The sequence below is a fragment of the Homo sapiens genome, chromosome 3 (assembly GCF_000001405.40).
Source record: "Homo sapiens chromosome 3, GRCh38.p14 Primary Assembly".
Classification (NCBI taxonomy): Eukaryota; Metazoa; Chordata; class Mammalia; order Primates; family Hominidae; genus Homo; species Homo sapiens.
The window spans coordinates 184,115,553-184,135,339 of record NC_000003.12 but is presented as its reverse complement, the minus strand read 5'-3'; the positions used below and the strand labels follow the sequence as shown (position 1 = coordinate 184,135,339).

Here is a 19,787-nt window from a genome sequence, read left to right as displayed (position 1 = left end):
CGCAGTAGGGGACAAAAAGGATCCAGCACTTGAAATGCGATGGACTAATTAACGAAGGGAAGGAGACGAGGAGGGAGCAGTGCGCATGCGTCTTCCCCGGGAGCCCACAGGGGTCTGAGGTTGATCCCGGAGGCGCGAGGAGTCGGTACGGGTCACGGTTGTCCCGGCCCCTGAGGCGCAGGGTAGGAGTGGGGTCCCATAGATGTCAGACTCGGTCTGCAAGTATCGTCGGCCTTCATTTGTAGGTGAACAAGCCGAGATTCTTGTGGCGTGATAGGACTTGTGGTCGCCACGAAGGGGCCAGCTCCATCGGGAATCTGTAATCGCCCAGCAGTTTCCCCGCCCCGCGCATGTGAAATATGTAGCCCTCCGTATTCATTCTAGAAACTTCTGGGAACCCAGCGCCTTGGGGAGATAGAACCGAGCCAGATGTTCCCCCGCTGCGAGGAACTCAGAACCTGCATAAATAGAGAAGGTGGCAGGCATATAGTAGGGAGACCAGTAATTCCATTGAGCGCTGATTTTGGGCCAGGCACGATACAAGCATTATCTCTGCAAAACATCTTATTCATTCGTTCAGCAAACGTTTCTTGAACTCTCAGAAGGATGAAGGAAGTTTACCCAGCTAGTAAGTGGAAGAACTGGTATTGGAACCCGATCTGTCTGACTGCAGAGTTCCACAATCTTGCTGCCAAGTTATGTGGGGATAACAATGACTATTTTATGTCATCTATTCATTCTTCCAGCCTATCAGCCTCCTGTGTCTTAAGCAGAGTGGAGACGGGGGTGGATCCAGGCGCACCAGTAAGTTGTACTGGAGTTAAGCAGTAAGCTTTCTGGGCAGAGGAAAGTGCGGGCGTAAAGGTCCAAGGCTTGAAAAGGCGCAGCAGCACCTTTTTCTCTTTGGGGAAAGAAGCGGTGGCTGCGGGGAATAAACCAACTCTGTAGAGGGGCGGGGCCGTGGGAAAGCGGTGGAACGGGGCAGGAAGGCTGGGCGTCATTTGGGAGGCAAGGAACTTTTCTGTAAGGCATAGCGCCCTTTCTGCACGGGACCTGTCCAGGTTCCACGCCACAGGCTTCTGCAGTTCCTGCAAACTGTTCCCATCCCGCCCCGCGTTGCACGTCGGGATTTGGAGTTCGCGATGCTGAGAGCTGTTTCCACGTGGCGATTCCGACTTGACCCGTCGTGCTCCGGCGCCCGCCTAGGGGGACCGAGGAGTTTGTCATTTCTTGCCTCGTTAGGGTGCGGAACGAAAACCATTTGATTTATCCTAGAAAAGGAAAGGCTGAAGCCAACTAAGTAAAAGTTTTCCATTAAATGAATGCACGTTGTAGAAAAGGAATGTTCAACTGCCCTACAAATCCAGAGGTAGAAATGGGGGAGGGGAGAAGGAATTAAATAGGACACACACACACACACACAAACACACACACACACACACTCTTGGGGGGGTGTTTGGGTATGGAAAGTAGGTCCGATTGCAGAATTTATTTTAAATGATTCCCGCAACCTTGGGAAGTTGGGAAGTGGTGAATCCGCTGCCGAAAGGCATTTGTGCTTATGGTAAATCCAGGTCTTAAAATTCTGTAGACTGGTAGCTATATGGATATGATTTTAATAGACGAGTTTCAGGAAGACTCTCTCAAACTGTTTTTTGTTGTTGTTGTTTAAAAACTTACTTGAAATATATTGGAAACCACATATACATAATCTCTCACACACACTACATAAAGAAGTAAAAATTCCTTTCCCTACTTCTTTCATCCTATCCAATTTGTAGAGTCATAACCATTCTTAATAATTTGATGGGTATTCATTTCTTCCCTAAATTTATATGTCTAGAACTAGAGCTAGAGTGTATGCCTACATACACACACACACACACCCATACATATATATTCAAACATAATATATGTATATCCACATGTATTCAAACACAGAATTATGTTTAGATAATTATGGTTATATGCTGGTATGCCAGAGCCAGACTGCCTGGCTTCGGTTCCAGGCCCTAGTTGGATAGCTTTGGGCTACTCAGCCTCTTTATGCCTGGACTTCTTCATCTTTGAAATGGGATAATAATAATACTTATCCCATAAAGTTATTGTGAGAATTAAATGAAATAATATATGAAAAGCCCTTAGAACAGGCATTGACACATTGTGAAGGTAATGTATTAGCTATTTTGATGATTATGCATTTTGTCTGCAACTTGATTTTTATTTAACATATGTGGGAAAGTAGACAAACATAGCCATTTTCAATGATTCCATAATATTCCATAGCACGAGTATACCATTGTTTATCGAACCATTTCTCTCTTGAGAAACATTGCAGATTTTTTTTGCAGTTTCTACGATTACAAATAATGCTGCAATAAACATCTTTCTACATATAGTCTTTATAAATTTGCGTTTATTTCTTAGAATTTATTATTGAATTAGAGTAACTGGTTCAAATTGGATGCAATTCCCATGGCAGAAGGTACATTGTTGAACTCACTGGCAAGCCTGATGAGGCACTGGTGGAATTCATGGAGATACTGCTTAATTGCTCTCCCTGGACAATGTGTCATTTTGCACTTACACCAGCAATGTATGAGAGCGCCTGTTTCCCCATAGCCTCACCAACAGAGTATTTTGTCAATAGTTTGGAGTTTCTGCCAATCTGTAAAGGAAAATAAGTGTAGTTTTAATTTGCATTTCTCTATTTCAGTGAGGTTGAACATTTTTTCATATATTTGGTCAACTGCCAGTTCTGGTTCTTTTTCTTTTTTTTTTTCTTTTTGAGACAGAGTCTCACTCTGTCTCCCAGGCTGGAGTGTAGTGGCACGATCTTGGCTCACTGCAACCTCTGCCTCCGAGGTTCAAGTGATTTTCCTACCTAGGCCCCCCTGAATAGCTGGGATTACAGGCTCACACCACTACACCTGGCTGATTTTTGTATTTTTAATAAAGGTGGGGTTTTGCCATATTGGCCAGGCTGGTCTCAAACTCCTGACTTCAGGTGATCCACCTGCCTTGGCCTCTCAAAGTGCTGGGATTACAGGTGTGAGCCACCGCACCCAGCCTCTTTTTCTTTTCTTTTCTTTCTTTCTTTTTGTTTAGAAACAGGGTTGTGCTCTGTTGCCCAGGCTGGAGTACAGTAGCACAATCATAGCTCACTGCAGCCTCAAACTCTTGGGCTCAAGCAGTCCTTCCTCAGCCTCCAGAGTAGCTGGGACAACAGGCACCTGCCACCACACCTAAGTTTTGTAGTTTTTGTAGAAATGGGGTCTTTCTGTGTTGCTCAGGCTAGTTCTGGTTCTTTCTCTGAATTTAGATTTCAAAATGAGTCTTGAATATGAAATCAGTTTAGAATATAATCTCTGTGGGCCTTCTGTTTATTTTATTCACTACTATACCCCAGGTACCTAGAAGAGTAACTGGCACATGGCAGATGCTCACTAAATATTTGTTGAACGAATGACTGGTTGTTGCTAGTCAGTAACTGAGTATGTGATCAACTGTAGACAAACAAAAGTAATTCCTGACTCTCCCAAGGCTGAGGCTGTTTTTAAAAGATTATGGTAAAAATACAACAAAACATAAAAGTTATCATCTTAACAATTTTTTAACCTTGGCATGGAAAATTGATCGAAGTTGGCCATTTTTAAGTATACAACTCTGTAGTGTTACTTATGTTCACGTTGTTGTGCTACCATCACCAACATCCACCCACAGAACTCTTCATTTTGTAAAACTGATACTCTGTACCCATTAAACACAATCCTCATTTCCCACTCAGTCCAGCTCCTGGCAACTACCATGCCACTTTCTGTCTCTGTGAATTTGACTGCCCTAGGTCCCTCATATAAGAGGAATCACATAGTATTTTTTTTGTATCTGCCTTATTTCACTTAGCATAATGTCCTCAAGGTTCATCCATATTGTTGCATGTTTCAGAATTTCCTTCCGTTTAAAGGCTGAATGATAATCCATTGGCTGTAGATACCACATTTTATTTATCCATTTATCTGTCAATGGACACTTCTTCGGTTGTTTCCCCCTTTTGCTATTGTGGATAATGCCACTACGAACGTGATCGTACAAATATCTGTTCCAGTCCCTGTTTTCACTGAAATAAATGGAACTACTGTATCATATGGTAACTCTACATTTAATTTTTTGAGAAATTGCCATACTTTTTTTCATTTTTCTTTTCTTTTCTTTTTTTTTTTTTTTTTTTGGTTTTGAGATGGAGTCTTACTCTGTCACCCAGGCTGGAGTGCAGTGACACGATCTCGGCTCACTACAACCTCTGCCTCCCGGGTTCAAGCAATTCTCCTGCCTCAGCTTCCCTAGAAGCTAGGATTACAGGTGCACACCACTGCGCCTGGCTAATTTTTGTATTGTTAGTAGAGACGGGGGTTTCACTGTTTTGGCCACAGTGGTCTCAAACTCCTGACCTCCGGTGATCCACCTGCCTTGGCTTCCCAAAGTGCTGGGATTACAGGCGTGAGCCACCGTGCCTGGCCCCCATTTTTTGAGACAGGGTCTTGCTCTGTCACCTAGGCTGGAGTGCAGTGGCGCAATCATGGCTCGCTGTAGCCTCAAACTCGTGGGCTCAAGCAATCCTCCTGCCTCAGCCTCCCATAGTGCTGGGATTATAGGCATGAGTCACCACACTCAGCTGCCATATATATAATTTTTACAGCAGATGCCCCATTTTACATTCCCACCTGCAGTGAACAAGGGTTTCAATTTCTTCACATCCTTAGTAACACTTCTATTTTTTTTTCTTTTTTTTTTTTTTGAGATAGAGTCTTGTTCTGTTGCCCAGGCTGGAGTGCAGTGGTGTGATCTTGGCTCACTGCAACCTCCACCTCCCAGGTTCAAGCAATACTCCTGCCTCAGCCTCCTGAGTAGCTGAGATTACAGGCATGTGCCACCATACCCAGCCAATTTTTCTATTTTTAGTAGAGGCAGGGTTTCACCGTGTTGGCCAGGCTGGTCTCAAACTCCTAACCTCAAGTGATCCGCCCGCCTCGGCCCCCCAAAGTGCTGAGATTACAGGCATTAGCCACTGCACCTGGCCTGTTTTCTTCTAACTTTAAGTGGCACTTTTCCCATTCCAAAATTCTACTTATAAATATATTAAAATAATGGTAGGATATGTCCCCTTCAGGGCACCCTTGATGCGTATACAAGAGCTGGCTTTTTCTAGGCACTGCTAAAGAGCCAGGGCTCTGGTGACAGGAAGCATTAAACTGGTGGAGCACCTTGAGGGTAAGTCTTGGGGCCTTTTGTGCTTCTCAGCTGGGCTCACTTGTTGCTTAGTGGACCAAGCTTGTTCACTGCTGTGAGTATCATTTATTTTTCTAGTTACTTTGGGTCTGCAGTAGTAGTTGAGTTCTAAATATACTATGGGATAGCTGAGGTCCGTGTCCTAGGTTGCTAGAAAATGACAGAAGAAATACAGTTCTGGACTGGATATGTGGCTCACACCTGTAATCCCAGTACTTTGGGAGGCCGAGGTGGGTGGATTACCTGAGGTCAGGAGTTCGAGACCAGCCTGGCCAACATGGCAAAACCCCATCTCTGCTAAAAAACAAAACAAAACAAAACAAAACAAAAATTAGCCGGGCATGGTGGTGTGCACCTGTAATTCCAGCTACTTGGAAGGCTGAGGCAGGAGAATCACTTGAACCTGGGAGGCGGAGGTTGCAGTGAGCTGATATCACCCACTGTGCCTGGGTGACAGAGCGAGACTCTGTCTCAAACAAAAACAAAAACAAAATCAAAAACAACAACAACAAAAAACAACTGAGTTCTTCCCTGTTTTTCTTAGCATGTCCAGAGATATACCTAGTCTCCAGGGTATAACAATTCTTTTTGTCTTCTAGGCTGAGGTTTGAGGGAAAAAATGTCCTTTAAGTTTTATCCATAGTAGAGTTGAAACAGGTTGGGATTTTTCAGAAGAGACTTTACTCAAAATCCTAAGGGAAGAGAAGGGAGAAAAAATGAAAATAAAGTCATTAACAATAAATACACTACTTTGGCTGGGCCCTGCCTCATGAGAGGCCAGAGTGGCTTGTGGAGTTTGGCAACACCGCCCCCCCTAGAGGTAATTGCTGTGCTGCGCTCCAACCTCTCCAACAATTGTTAGACTCTTCAGATCCCTGTTGATACAGAGCATTCCAGGATTGTGAAGTGGGAGCCAGCCACATCCATGATGTTCATGGAGCCTAGAAGAGCCCTGTGGAAACAAATTTTACCTGGTTACACTGAGATCCAGACATGCACAGACCAGCCCTCTTGAAGAGAGCTTGAGCTTCCTGACTGGGGCTGGAATGGAGAGAGACAATGAAGTTCCTGAGAGTATTGCCAGGAGAAAAAGGTGTGGCTGAATGGATCAGCCGAAACATCAGGGGCTTGAATCCAGAGGGAGGATGGGGTCTCGCTATGTTGCTCAGGCTGGTCTCAAACTCCTGGCCTTAAGCAGTCCTCCTGCCTCAGCTTCCAAAAGTGCTGGGATTGCAGGTGTGAGCATCTGCACCTAGCCAACAATCATTTATTGTATATTTCACAGTAGCTAGAAGAGAAGGGTTGTAATGTTCCCAACACAAAGAAAGATAGGGCTGGCCACAGTGGCTCACGCCGGTAATCCCAACACTTTGGGAGGCCGAGGCAGGTGGATCACCTGAAGTCGGGAGTTCGAGACCAGCCTGGCCAACATGGTGAAACCCCATCTCTACTAAAAATAGCAATTGAAAATCCTGCCTCCTGGGCTGAAGGAAGCTGCTCAGTTCCTGGCCCTCTCAAATGAATGGTCACCATAGATAAGGGTCACCCAGTGCCAAGAGTTCCGCTGTGGAAACTCCTTTCTAAACAGTTGACCAAGAGAAATAGCCAGTTTCCCCAATGCCTGGGCAGGAAGGAGTCCCTTAGTTTGGTGGGTCACAGGTTAGCAACACTGTGGCACTTATTGTTGGCAAAACACCAAAGACAACAACAACAGAAAATTAGAAACAGCCAGAGAGAAAATATACACAGTATTACCTAAAAGGGAACAAAAATAAGATTGACTTCACTACAGCACAAATGGAAGCCAGGAGAAAATGGCATAACATCTTCAAGGCGTTGAGATCAAATAATGTCAACGTAGAATTGTCTTCCCAGAAAAATTATCTTTCTTTTTTTAAATTTATTTTTAGACTGGGCACAGTGGCTCACGCCTGTAATCCCAGCACTTTGGGAGGCTGAGGCAGGTGGATCACCTGAGGTCAGGAGTTCGAGACTAGCCTGGGCAACATGGCGAAACCCCGTCTCTACTAAAAATATAAAAATTAGATGGGTACGGTGGCATGCGCCTGTAATCTCTGCTACTCAGGAGGCTGAGGCAGGGGAATCACTTGAACCCGCAAGGCGGAGTTTGCAGTGACCCGAGATGGCGCCACTGCATTCCAGCCTGGGCAACAAAGTAAGACTCCATCTCAAAAAAAAATTTATTTTAAAAAATATTTATTTCTTTTTTAATAGAGGCAGGGTCTCCCTATGTTGCCTAGGCTGGTGTTGAGCTCCTAGGTCAAGTGATCCTCCCACCTCGGCTTCCCAAAGTGCTGGGATTACAGGCATGAGCCATCATGACCAGCTGAAAAATTATATTTCAAGAACAAGGGTAAAATAAATACATTTTCAGATAAACAAAAATAGACAACTGATCATCGAAAGACCTTTATTGAGATCCAGATATGCACAGACCAGCCCTCTTGAAGACAGCTTGAGCTTCCTGAATGGGCCTCCCAAAGTGTTGGGATTACAGGCGTGAGCCACTGTAGCCGGCCCTATCTTTCTTTGTGTTGGGAACATTACAACCCTTCTCTTCTAGCTCCTGTGAAATATACAATAAATGATTGTTGGCTAGGTGCAGATGTTCACACCTGCAATCCCAGCACTTTTGGAGGCTGAGGCAGGAGGATTGCTTAAGGCCAGCAATCCTGGCCTTAAGATGATTAAGGAGAAGCTGATTAAGTGGAACAAAAATACAGTTAGATAGAAAGAATATGTTCTTGTATTTGATAGTACAGTAGGGAAATTATAGCTAATAATTTTACAATTTATTTATTTATTTTTTATTTTTTAGACACAGAGTCTGGCTGCATTACCCAGGCTGGAGTGCAGTGGCATGATCATGGCTCACTGTAGCCTTGAATTTCTGGGCTCAAGCAATCTTTCCACCTCAGCTTCCTGAGTAGCTAGGATTACAAGCATGTGCCACCATGCCCAGCCAATTTTTAAATTTTTTTTGTAGAGATGGGGTCTCGTCATGTTGCTCAGGCTGGTCTCAAACTCCTGGCCTTAAGCAATCCTCTGCCTCAGCCTCCAAAAGTGCTGGGATTGCAGGTGTGAGCATCTGCACCTAGCCAACAATCATTTATTGTATATTTCACAGTAGCTAGAAGAGAAGGGTCGTAATGTTCCCAACACAAAGAAAGATAGGGCCGGCCACAGTGGCTCACGCCTGTAATCCCAGCATTTTGGGAGGCTGTGGCAGGTGGATCACCTAAAAAATACAAAAAATTAGCCAGGTGCAGTGGCACATGCTGGTAATCCCAGCTACTTGGGAGGCTGAGGCAGGAGAATTGCTTGAACCTAGGAGGTGGAGGCTGCAGAGAGCCAAGGTCATGCCACTGCACTCCAGCCTGGAAGCCTGGACGATAGAGCGAGACTCCGTCTCAAAAAAATATATAAATAAATAAATAATAAATAAGTGAATAAAAATTATATAAAATTAAAAATTCAGTGATACAGTCACATTTGCCACATTTCAAGCACCTAATAACCATGTGTGGCTAGTGGCTACTATATTGGACAATGCAGATGTAGAATATTTCCACTATTTCAGAAAGTTCTATTAACAGCACTGTTCAAAGATGTACCTCAAGCCGAAGGAGAAAAATTCCAGAACAAAGGTCTGAGATGCAAGGTGAAAGTTCTAGTAAATAAAATGCTAAGCATGTGAGTAAATATAAACAAACATTGATGATATAAAATAATATTAATGTCTAAGTTGGACGGCTAAAAAAAGAAAATGCTAAACTACTTATACATGTTAAGTCAGACAGGAAGTGACTAGAGTTAAAAACATTCTAAGATCTTTTTTATTATTCACATAAAGTCTGGGCCAAGGAATAAAATTCAGCAATATATTGTTTACAAGCAATACCCTTAAAACATAAGGATTCAGGATGGGCTCGGTGGCTCACCACCTGTAATCCCAGCACTTTGGGAGGCCGAGGCATGTGGATTGCTTGAGGTCAGGAGTTCAAGACCAGCCTGGGCAGCATGGTGAATCCTCTACTAAAAACACACAAAATAGCTGGGCATGGTGGCACGTGCCTGTAATACCAGCTACTTGGGAGGCTGAGGGAGGAGAATCACTTGAACCTGGGAGGCGAAGGTTGCAGTGAGCCGAGATTGTGCCACTGCACTCCAGCCTGGGCGACAGAGTGAGAATCCATCTCAAAAAAAATAAATAAATAAACAATCGACGAATCCATTATTATAGTAAAACATTTTAAATATATCTCAGTATTTGGTAGATCAAACAGATAAATGAATAAGGAAACAGAAGACTAGAATATCATAATTAAACATCTTGATCTAATGAATTTATGTGGAACTCTGCATTCGTTAATTGGATAATATGCAGTCTTTTCAAATGTTTGGGGAATGTTTGTGAACATTATACATAAAGCAAATCTCAACAGATTTCAAGGAATTGGTATCATGTATCATATGGACCTTTTCCACTAAAAGTATGGTGCATACAACAGTAGCAGCAGCATCACACGAAAGCCTGTTAGAAATGCAGACGCCCACGTCTCACCCCCGACCTCCTGCATTTTGGCAAGATCCCCAGGGGATTCACATGTACATTAAAGTTTGACATGCTTTGACACAAAGCATATTTTCTGACCACAGTATAATTAAGTTAAAAATCGGTAACATAAAGATAATTAAGAAAACTCCATATTTAAAAATTAGGCCAGGTGTGTGTGGTGGCTCACACCTGTAATCCTAGCACTTTGGGAGGCCAAGGCAAGCGGATTGCCTGAGCTCAGGAGTTCGAGACCAGCCTAGGTAACATGGTGAAACCCTGTCTCTACTGAAATACAACATATTAGCTGGGCATGGCAGTGGGTGCCTGTGATCCCAGCTACTCAGGAGGCTGAGCCATGAGAATCCCTTGAACTCGGGAGGCAGAGGTTGCAGTGAGCCGAGATCGTACCATTGCACTCTAACCTGGGTGACAGAGGGAGACTCTGTCTCCAAAAAAACTAAAAAATAAATAAAATGAATAAATAAAATGAATAAAAATTACAACACCTCTAAAAATAGCTAACTGGCCAGGTACGGTGGCTCATGTCTGTAATCTTGGCACTTCCGGAGGCTGAGGCAGGAGGATCACTTTAGACCAGAAGTTCAGGACCTGCCTGGGCAACATAGTGAGACCCTGTCTTTGCCAAAAAAAACTATTTAAAAAAATAGCTATGTATGTGTGTGTTTATGATACTGTTTGTTTCATTTACAGATCACGTGATATATTTGTGTATTTGCCAACCCCATAGGATTGGTTCCCTAGGTCCATAACCCAGAAATTGGGAAGTACCACCTTGAACTTTGTGTCTTTGGTTTTTTTTTTTGTTTGTTTTTTGTTTTTTTTTTTTTTTTTTTTGAGACGAGTCTCACTCTGTCGCCCAGGCTGGAGTGCAGTGGCGCAATCTCGGCTCACTGCAAGCTCCGCCTCCCGGGTTCACGGCATTCTCCTGCCTCAGCCTCTCCAAGTAGCTGGGACTACAGGCACTCGCCACCACGCCTGGCTAATTTTTTGTATTTTTAGTAGAGACGGGGTTTCACCGTGGTCTCAATCTCCTGACCTCGTGATCCGCCCGCCTTGGCCTCCCAAAGTGCTGGGATTACAAGTGTGAGCCACCGCGCCCGGCCGAACTTTCTGTCAACAATACCAGTTTACTGTAGGTGATGTCTTGAGAGTCACTAATGTGCCCCCCCACCTTTTACCTTTTCAAATACGTGATGTTATCTCTGGTTGACCTGAGGCATGAATGTGCCAAAGAAATTAGGATTTGTAACAGAAAGGAGGCAAAGAGAAAGAAACAAACAATTTAAAAAACTTTCTATTACTATAAAGAAAAAGTCTAAACATGTACAAAAGCACACATGGATACACATGTATCCATCACCATGTGGAACAATGATCAATTCAATCTTGTTTCATCAGTACCTGCCCCTACACTTTCCTCTCTCCCTTTGGATTATTTTGAGGCAAATCCTAGACATCTTATCATTTCATCTGTAAATATTCTAGCATTTATCTCTAGAAGAAAATGATCATTTAGCACAAATAATCGTGTCATTATTCCACTGAAAATTAACATAGTTTTAAATATCATTAACTACTCTGCTCAAATTTCCCCAATTTTCCCATCAGTATCTTTTTCTTATAAATGTTTATTGTTTTATTCAGGCTCAAAATAATGTTTATATATTGTAATTGATTGAAATGTCTCTTAAATTTCTCACTTTAAAAGTTTTCATAGGAGGGGCATGGTGGCTCATGCCTGTCATCCCAGCACTTTGGGAGGTCTAAGTGGGTGGGCTACTTGAACTCAGGAGCTTGAGACCTGCCTGGGTGATGTGGCAAAACCCTGTCTCTACAAAAAATACAGAAATTAGCCCGGCATGGTGGTGGGTACCTGTAGTCCCAGCTACTCTGGAGGCTGAGGTGGGAGGATCACTTGAGCCTGGGAGGCAGAGGTTTCAGTGAGCTAAGATTGGACCATTACACTCCAGCCTGGGTGACATAGTGAGACCCTGTCTCAAAAAAAAAAATTACTTTCAAATAATTTTAGATTTACAGAAGAGTTGCAAAATAGTGTAGAGAGTTTCCTAATATTTTCTGCTTAAAGTTAACAACTTATGTAACCATAGTATAATTATGAAAGTCGGGAAGCTAACGTTAGTACAAAATTATTCTTAGTCTTATTCTTAGAGACGGAGTGTCGCTTTTGTTGCCCAGGCTGGAGTAAAATGGCGTGATCTCGGCTCACCGCAGCCTCCACCTCCTGGGTTCAAGTGACTCTCCTGCCTCAGCCTACTGAGTAGCTGGGAATACAGGCATGAGCCACCATGCCGGGCTAATTTTGTATTTTTAGTAGACATGGGGTTTCTCCATGTTGGTCAGGCTGGTCCCCAACTCCTGACCTCAGGTCATCCGCTCGCCTAGGCCTCCCAAAGTGCTGGGATTACAGGCGTGAGCCACCACACCCGGCCATATAAAATTATTAAATAAACTACAGACCTTTTCAGAATTTCAACAATTTCCCCCCTCAGTATCAGTTTTCTGTTCCAGGATTAGATCAAAATCTCACATTGCATATAGTTTTCACTTCTTCCTAGTTTCCTCCAATCTGTGACAATTCCTTAGTCTCTCCTTGTCTTTTATGACTTGGACACTCTTTCTTTTTCTTTTCTTTTTTTTTTTTTTTAGAGACGGGGGTCTCACTATGTTGCCCAGGCTAGACTCAAACTCCTAGGCTTAAGGTATTCTCCTGCCTCAACCTCCTGATTATCTGGGATTATAGGTGGGCTCCACCACGTCAGGCTCTGACTTTAATACTTTTGATAAGTAGCGACCAGTTATTTTGTAGAATGTCACTCAATGTGGTTTTTAAAAAGCAGCTTTTTCTCTTTTTTTTTTTTTTTTTTTTGAGACGGAGTCTCACTCTGTTGCCCAGGCTTGAGTGCAGTGGCACCATCTCAGCTCACTGCAACCTCCACCTCCTGGGTTCAAGCGATTCTCATGCCTCAGCCTCCCAAGTAGCTGGGATTACAGGTGCCTGCCACCACGCCCAGCTAATTTTTGTATTTTTAGTAGAGACGGGGTTTCACCATGTTGGTCAGGCTGGTCTTGAATTCCTGCCTCAGGTGATCTGCCCGCCTCAACCTCCCAAATGGTTGGGATTACAGGCATAAGCCACTGCATCTGGCCGTACAATTTTTTGTGTATGTTTGTCTTTCATTTAGCATAATGGTTTTAAGGTTTAGCCGTTTGTGATGTTATCAGTACTTCATTCCTTTGCATGACCAAATAATATTTCATTGTATGGAGATACCATATTTTGTTTATCTATTCATCAATTGATGAACATTTGGGTTGTTTCTATTTTTTGGGTGTTATAAATAATGCTGCTATGAACATTTGTGAAAAGTTTTGTGTTTGTTTTTTTGAGACAGAGTCTGGCTCTGTAGCCCAGGCTGGAGTGCAGTGGCGTCATCTTGGCTCACTGCACCCTCTGCCTCCCAGGTCCCCGTTCAAGCAATTCTCCTGCCTCAGCCTCCCGAGTAGCTGGGATTACAGGTGTGCGCCACCATGCACAGCTCATTTTTGTATTTTTGATAGAGACGGGGTTTCACCACGTTAGCCAGGCTGGTCTTGAACTCCTGACCTTGTGATCCACCTGCCTCAGCCGCCCAAAGTTCTGGGATTACAGGCGTGAGACACTACGCCTGGCCAAAAAGGTCTTCGTATAAGCATTTGTTTTCATATATTCTGAACATACACTTTGGGGTGGATTTTTTGGTCATATGGTAATTCTATGTCTAACATTCTGAAAAACTGCCAAACTATTTTCTAAAGTGTCTACACCATTTTGATTTCCAACTTGTTATTATCCACACTTGTTATTATCTATCTTTTTTTTTTTTTTTAGACATATCCATCCTTGACTGGGCACGGTGCCTCACGTCTGTAATCCCAGCAGTTTGGGAGGCCGAGGCGGGCGGATCACCTGAGGTCAGGAGTTCGAGACCAGCAAGACCAACATGGAGAAACCCCATCTCTACTAAAAAATGCAAAATTAGCTGGCATGGTGGTGCATCCCTGTAATCCCAGCTACTCGGAAGGCTGAGGCAGGAGAATTACTTGAACCCGGGAGGCGAGGGTTGCGGTGAGCCAAGATCGCGCCATGGCACTCCAGCCTGGGCAACAAGAGTGAAACTCTGTCTGAAAACAAAAGCAAAAACCAAAACCAAAACAACAAAAAACATCCATCCTCAGGAGGGTAAAGTGTATTGCATTTCCCTAATGACTGATGATGTCAAGCACCTTTTCATGTGCTTTTTTGTTTGTTTGTCTGGACAGAGTCTCATTCTGTTGCCCAGGCTGGAGTGCACTGGTGTGATCTCGGCTCACTGCAATCTCCGCCTCCCAGGTTCAAGCAATTCTTCTGTCTCAGCCTCCTGAGTAACTGGGACTACAGGCTCACGCTACCGCACCTGGCTAATTTTTGTATTTTTAGTAGAGACCAGGTTTCACCATATTGATCAGGCTGATCTCGAACTCTTGACCTCAGGTGATCCACCCATCTTGGCCTCCCATAGCGTGGGCCACCCAACCTGGCCTGCTGTTTTTTTTTTCTTTTCTTTTCTTAAATAGGGATGGGGTTTTTTGGCCAGGCTGGTCTCGAATTCCCGACCTCATGTAATTAGCCCACCTCAGCCTCTCAAAGAGCTGGATTACAGGCATGAGCCACTGTACCCGGCCTTCATGTGCTTACTGGCCATTTGTGTATCTTCTTTGGAGAAATGACTATTCAAATTCTTTGCTCTTTTTCGTTGATTATTTGTTTATTTATTGTTCAGGTGTAAGAGCTCTTTATGTATTCAGGGTACATATCCTGTATCAGATATATGACCTTCAAATATTGTCTCCCAGCCTGTGGGTTCTTTTTTCACTTTCTTGATGGTTTATTTAAAGCATGATAGTTTTAAATTTTGATAAAGTCCAATTTCTCCTTCCTTCCTTCCTTCCTTGCTCTTCTTTCCTTCCTTCCTTCCTTCCTTCCTTCCTTCCTTCCTTCCTTCCTTCCTTCCCTCACTCCCTCCCTCCCTCCTTCCTTCTCTCCCTCCCTCCTTCCTTCCTTCCTTTCTTCTTCTTCTTTTTTTGGGATAGAGTTTCCCTCTTGTTGCCCAGGGTAGATTGCAATGGTGTGATCTCAGCTCACCACAACCTCCGCCTCCCGGATTCAAGTGATTCTCCTGCCTCAGCCTTCCAAGTAGCTGGGATTACAGGCATGCGCCACCACGCCCGGCTAATTTTGTATTTTTAGTAGAGACAGGGTTTCTCCATGTTGGTCAGGCTGGCCTCAAACTCCTGACCTCAGGTGATCCGCCTGCCTAGACCTCCCAAAGTGCTTGGATTATAGGCATGAGCTACCGCGCCCAGGCTTATCTATCTTTCTTTTTTATCGTTTGTGCTTATAATAGTCATATATAAGAAATCATAGCCCACCCCAAGATCGTGAAGATTAACTGCTATGTTTTCTTCTAAGAAAACATTTAGCTCCTATGTTTAGGACTGTGATCCATTTTGAGTTGATTTTTGTGTATGGTGTGAGGGGTAGGGGTCCAAAGACATTCTTTTGCATGTGGATATCCAGTTGTCTAAGCACCATTTGCTGAAAAAAACTATTCTTTTTATCATTGAATTATTTTGTTCCCTTTGTAGAAAATAAATTGACCGTAAATGTTAGGGTTTATTTATGAACTCTCCATTCGAATTTCGTTGACCTATATGTCTTTCCTTATGCCAGTATCACACTATCTTGATTACAATATCTTTGTAGTAAGTTTTTTTTTTTAAGATGGAGTCTTGCTCTGTCTCTCAGGCTGAAGTACAGTGCCACGATCTCGGCTCACTGCAACCTCCACCTCCTGGGTTCAAGCGATTCTCCTTCCTCAGCCTCCCGAGTAGCTGGGATTACAGGCACACGCCACCATGTCCAGCTAATTTTTGTATTTTTAGTAGAGATGGGGTTTTGCTACTTTGGCCGGGCTGGTCTCAAACTCCTGACCTCAGGCGATCCCCTCGCCTCGGTCTCCCAAAGTGCTGGGATTACAGGTATGAACCACCGCGCCTGGCCTGCAGTACGTTTTGAAATGAGGAAGTGTGAGTCTACCAACTGTGTTCTGCTCCAGGATTGTTTTGATTATTCTGGGCCTGTTGCATTTCTGCCTTTTTTTTTTTTTTCTTTTAAACTCATCTGTATTTGTTACAACCTTTTTAAGCAGAATGTGACTTGGGTACTACAGTTCCATTCACAAGCCTCGCTCTGGGTTATTTCTGAACAGCTTTACAATATGCCTAGGTAGGCTTATAATTTTGCTCCTGCAAACAATATTTTCCTTTGGAAAACAAGTCCTGTGGAGAGTTCCTTCCATCAAGTTGCTTCAGTTTAACATATTTCCAGAGGACAATTACATGCAGAATTGGCAACTACAGGATGAAAAGTTTAAAAAGTAGATCCTAGAAGATGCAACAAATACTTTTCCTCTAAACATCAAGGTATTTCTCAGAAAACTTCAGTGACAAAGATTTGGCCTACTAAGGAATCTGGCTTGATAGCTTAAACAGTTTAGATCACAAAGTTAATGTTAGGTTACATACATCTTTTTTTTTTCTTTTCTTTCTTTCTTTCTTTCTTTTTTTTTTTTTTTGAGGTGGAGTCTCTCTCTGTTGCCCAGGCTAGAGTACAGTGGCGTGATCTTGGCTCACTGCAACCTCCACTTCCTGGGTTCAAGCAATTCCCCTGCCTCAGCCTCCCGAGTACCTGGGATTACAGGCACCTGCCATAGCACCCAACTAATTTTTGTATTTTTAGTAGAGACGAGGTTTTGTCATGTTGGCCAGGCTGGTCTTGAACTCCTGACCTCAGGTGATCCACCCGCCTCGTCCTCCCAAAGTGCTGGGATTACAGGCGTGAGCCACCGCACCCAGCCTACATACATCTTACAACACACATTACCCCAATCTGTTAAAATAAGCCAATGTGAAACTAGAAAAGCATTGCTAGCTCTGTTTTAGTGCCTGAAGTATCACAAAATCACTTAGAAGTATCACAAAATCACTTAGAAGTAGAAAGAAACCTTACCTTCCCCCTGAAATAGTTATTGTCATGCCATGCAGACTTTTTTTTTTTTTTTTTTGAAGGCAGAGTCTCCCACTTTCTCCCGGGCTGGAGTGCAATGGCGTGATCTCAGCTCACAGCAACCTCCGCCTCCTGGGTTCACATGATTCTCCTGCCTCAGCCTCCTGAGTAGCTGGGATTACAGGTGCACACCACCACACCCGGCTAATATTTTGTTTTTTTTTAGTAGAGATTGGGTTTCGCCATGTTGGCCAGGCTGGTCTCGAACTCCTGACCTCAGGTGATCCACCTGCCTCAGCCTCCCAAAGTGCTGGGATTACAGGTGTGAGCCACCACGCCCGGCCCCCATACAGACTTTTTAAATGTTAACAAAAATAACTAAAATAATCCTGAAAATATATTATCAGAGAGAATGAAGATAGAGTATTGAACACATGTACAAGTCATTCCTCAGCCAGAGCCGCCTACTTCTTCCATGCGTGATGTGTCATCACCTCCTCTGAGGGGCGGCATTTCTTTAGTTATAGCGGCATTGATATCATTAGCAGTAGGATCATATTCATCAACACCCAGACCAAGTTTGATCATCCTATAGATCTTGTTAGTATGTCTCTGAGGGTCTTCCATACTGAAGCCAGGAGATGGGAGTGCAGTTTAGTAAAGCAAGATGACCAGATCCTTCACTGACTTGTTGTTCTTATCAGCCTCTGCCTTTTGCCTTAAGGTTTCAATCATGAATGGTCAGGGTTTATCTCCAGGTGTTTCTTTGCTGCCACGTAGCCCATTGTTGAGTTGTCTTACCGGGCTTGAGCTTTCATGATTCTTTCCATGTTTGCTGTCCAGCCATATGTGCTTGTGACAATACAGCATGGGGATGTCACCAGTTTGACACAACCACCTTTTTGACTTTTTTCTCCAACATGTCTTTCATGATTTTGCAGAGGTTCTCAAACTTTGTTTTTTTCTCTTCCTGTTTCTTTTTTTCTTCTTCATCTTCTGGAAGTTCCAAACCCTCTTTGGCAACTGACACTACAGTCTTACTCTCAAGTTCCTTCAGCTGCTGGACACAGTACTTATCAATCAACTCGATCATATAGATCACTTCTAAGCCATGCTTCTGAAGACATTCCACAAAGGCTGAGTTAGCTACTTGGTCCTTGGTCTCACCTGTAATGTAATAGATATGTTTCTGGTTTGCCTTCATTCTGGAAAACACAATGAGATAAACCATCTCATCACGAGAGGCAGATGTGCACTATTTCAACAGCTCTGAAAGCTTCTTCTGATTTTGAGAGTCTATATATTCAAAGATTTATGTTTTCAGATAACTTCTCGTGGAACTTTTTGTAGTTCTTTTTATCCTCTGCCAGTTCAGCAAAGAGTTCTAAGTATGTTTTGACCAAATTCTTCCTAATAACTTTCAAAATTTTGCTTTGTTGCAACATCTCAGAAAAAATATTTAGAGGGAGATCCTCTGAGTCCATCACCCCTCTAATGAAGTTCAGGTATTCAGGGATTAGCTCCTCACAGTTACCCATGATGAAAACTCTGTGTACATACAACTGAATGTTGTTCTTTTTCTTTCTGTTTTCAAATAGGTCAAAAGGAGCACATCTTGAAACAAAAAGAGCTCTTCTAAACTCTTCGACTGTCCTTCAACTCTTCCAACTGCCCTTCAACTGAAAAGTGCTTCACTGCCAAGTGATCTTCCCAGTTATTGGTCAAGCTCTGATGGAACTCTCCATACTCCTCGTTAGTAATAGCGTCAGGATTTCTGGTCCAGATAGGCTTTGTTTTGTTGAGTTCTTGATCAATGTACTTTTCCTTACTTTTCTTCTTCTTCTTGTCAGCATCCTTCTTTTCTTCTTCTTCATCAGAACCAACATCTTCAATTTCAGGTTTGTCATTGGACTCTTTCTTTTTCTTCCTCTTATCTTCCTTTTTTTCAGCCTCAGCATCACTGACTTGTTTATTACGTTTCTTCTCCACAAAAAGAGTAATGGGATAGCCAATAAACTGAGAATGCTTCTTCACAATCTCTTTTATTCTTCTTTCCTCCAAATACTCAGGTCTTCTTTCAAGTGCAGGGTGCCCTTTGCTCCATGCCCCATAGGTTCACTGTGTCAGTCCTAACTGTGAGTGATCCCCCTGAGGAGGACTCCCGAGCATGCTGCTCATGTTTATGTTTGGTGATCACAGTTACTTTCTCAGCAACCAAATAAGCAGAATAAAAACCAGCACCGAACTTGCCAATCATAGAGATTCTGCACCAGCCTGGAAAACTTCCATGAATGCTTTGGTCCCAGACTGGCGACAGTACCAAGGTTATTGATCAAGTCAGCCTTGGTCATTCCAGTTTCAGTATCCATAATAGTAAGGGTTTGATCTTGTGTGCTTGGCATAAGATTAACGTGGAGCTCTTTCCCAGCGTCTAATTTACTGGGATCCGTCAAGGTTTCATATCAGGTTTTGTCCAAAGCATCTGATGAATTTGAAATGAGCTCTCTTGAGCCAGGCACTGTGGCTCACTCCTGTAATCCCAGCACTTTGGCAGGCCAAGGTGGGTGGATCGCTTGAGGTCAGGAGTTCAAGAGCAGCCTGGGTAATATGGTGAAACCCACCTGGGCAATATGGTGAAACCCCATCGCTACCCAAAATACAAAAAGTTAGCCAGGCATGACGGACATGCCGATGGTCCCAGCTTGTCAGGGGCTGACGCATGAGAATCACTTAAGCCCGGGAGGTGGAGGCTGCAGTGAGCCGAGATCACCCCACTGCATTTCAGACTGGGTGACA

General features: G+C 43.5%; 1 long non-coding RNA gene and 1 pseudogene across 4 annotated transcripts, besides 2 other annotated features; one reads left to right on the top strand and one right to left on the bottom strand.

Annotated features, from left to right (window-relative positions):
• Window positions 23-82: an enhancer, noted in NCBI's record as "active region_20901". NCBI's record gives its function as "activates an Ori minimal core promoter by ATAC-STARR-seq in GM12878 lymphoblastoid cells {active_cell/tissue: GM12878}" and the evidence as "EXISTENCE:reporter gene assay evidence [ECO:0000049][PMID:35858748]".
• On the top strand, window positions 79-4,145 carry EIF2B5-DT (EIF2B5 divergent transcript). 4 transcript variants are annotated; one of them, NR_183719.1, is made up of 4 exons: window positions 79-145; window positions 603-628; window positions 747-804; window positions 1,062-4,145. It is a non-coding gene; the product is annotated as an EIF2B5 divergent transcript (long non-coding RNA). The 4 variants fall into 4 exon arrangements; NR_183718.1 differs by lacking the exon at window positions 603-628; NR_183720.1 differs by lacking the exon at window positions 603-628 and having other exon boundaries at window positions 79-182.
• Window positions 952-1,593: an enhancer, noted in NCBI's record as "H3K4me1 hESC enhancer chr3:183851535-183852176 (GRCh37/hg19 assembly coordinates)". NCBI's record gives its function as "activates a minimal SCP1, AML or CMV promoter by ChIP-STARR-seq in naive H9 embryonic stem cells {active_cell/tissue: H9 hESC(naive)}" and the evidence as "EXISTENCE:reporter gene assay evidence [ECO:0000049][PMID:30033119]".
• On the bottom strand, window positions 17,337-19,498 carry HSP90AA5P (heat shock protein 90 alpha family class A member 5, pseudogene; annotated as a pseudogene).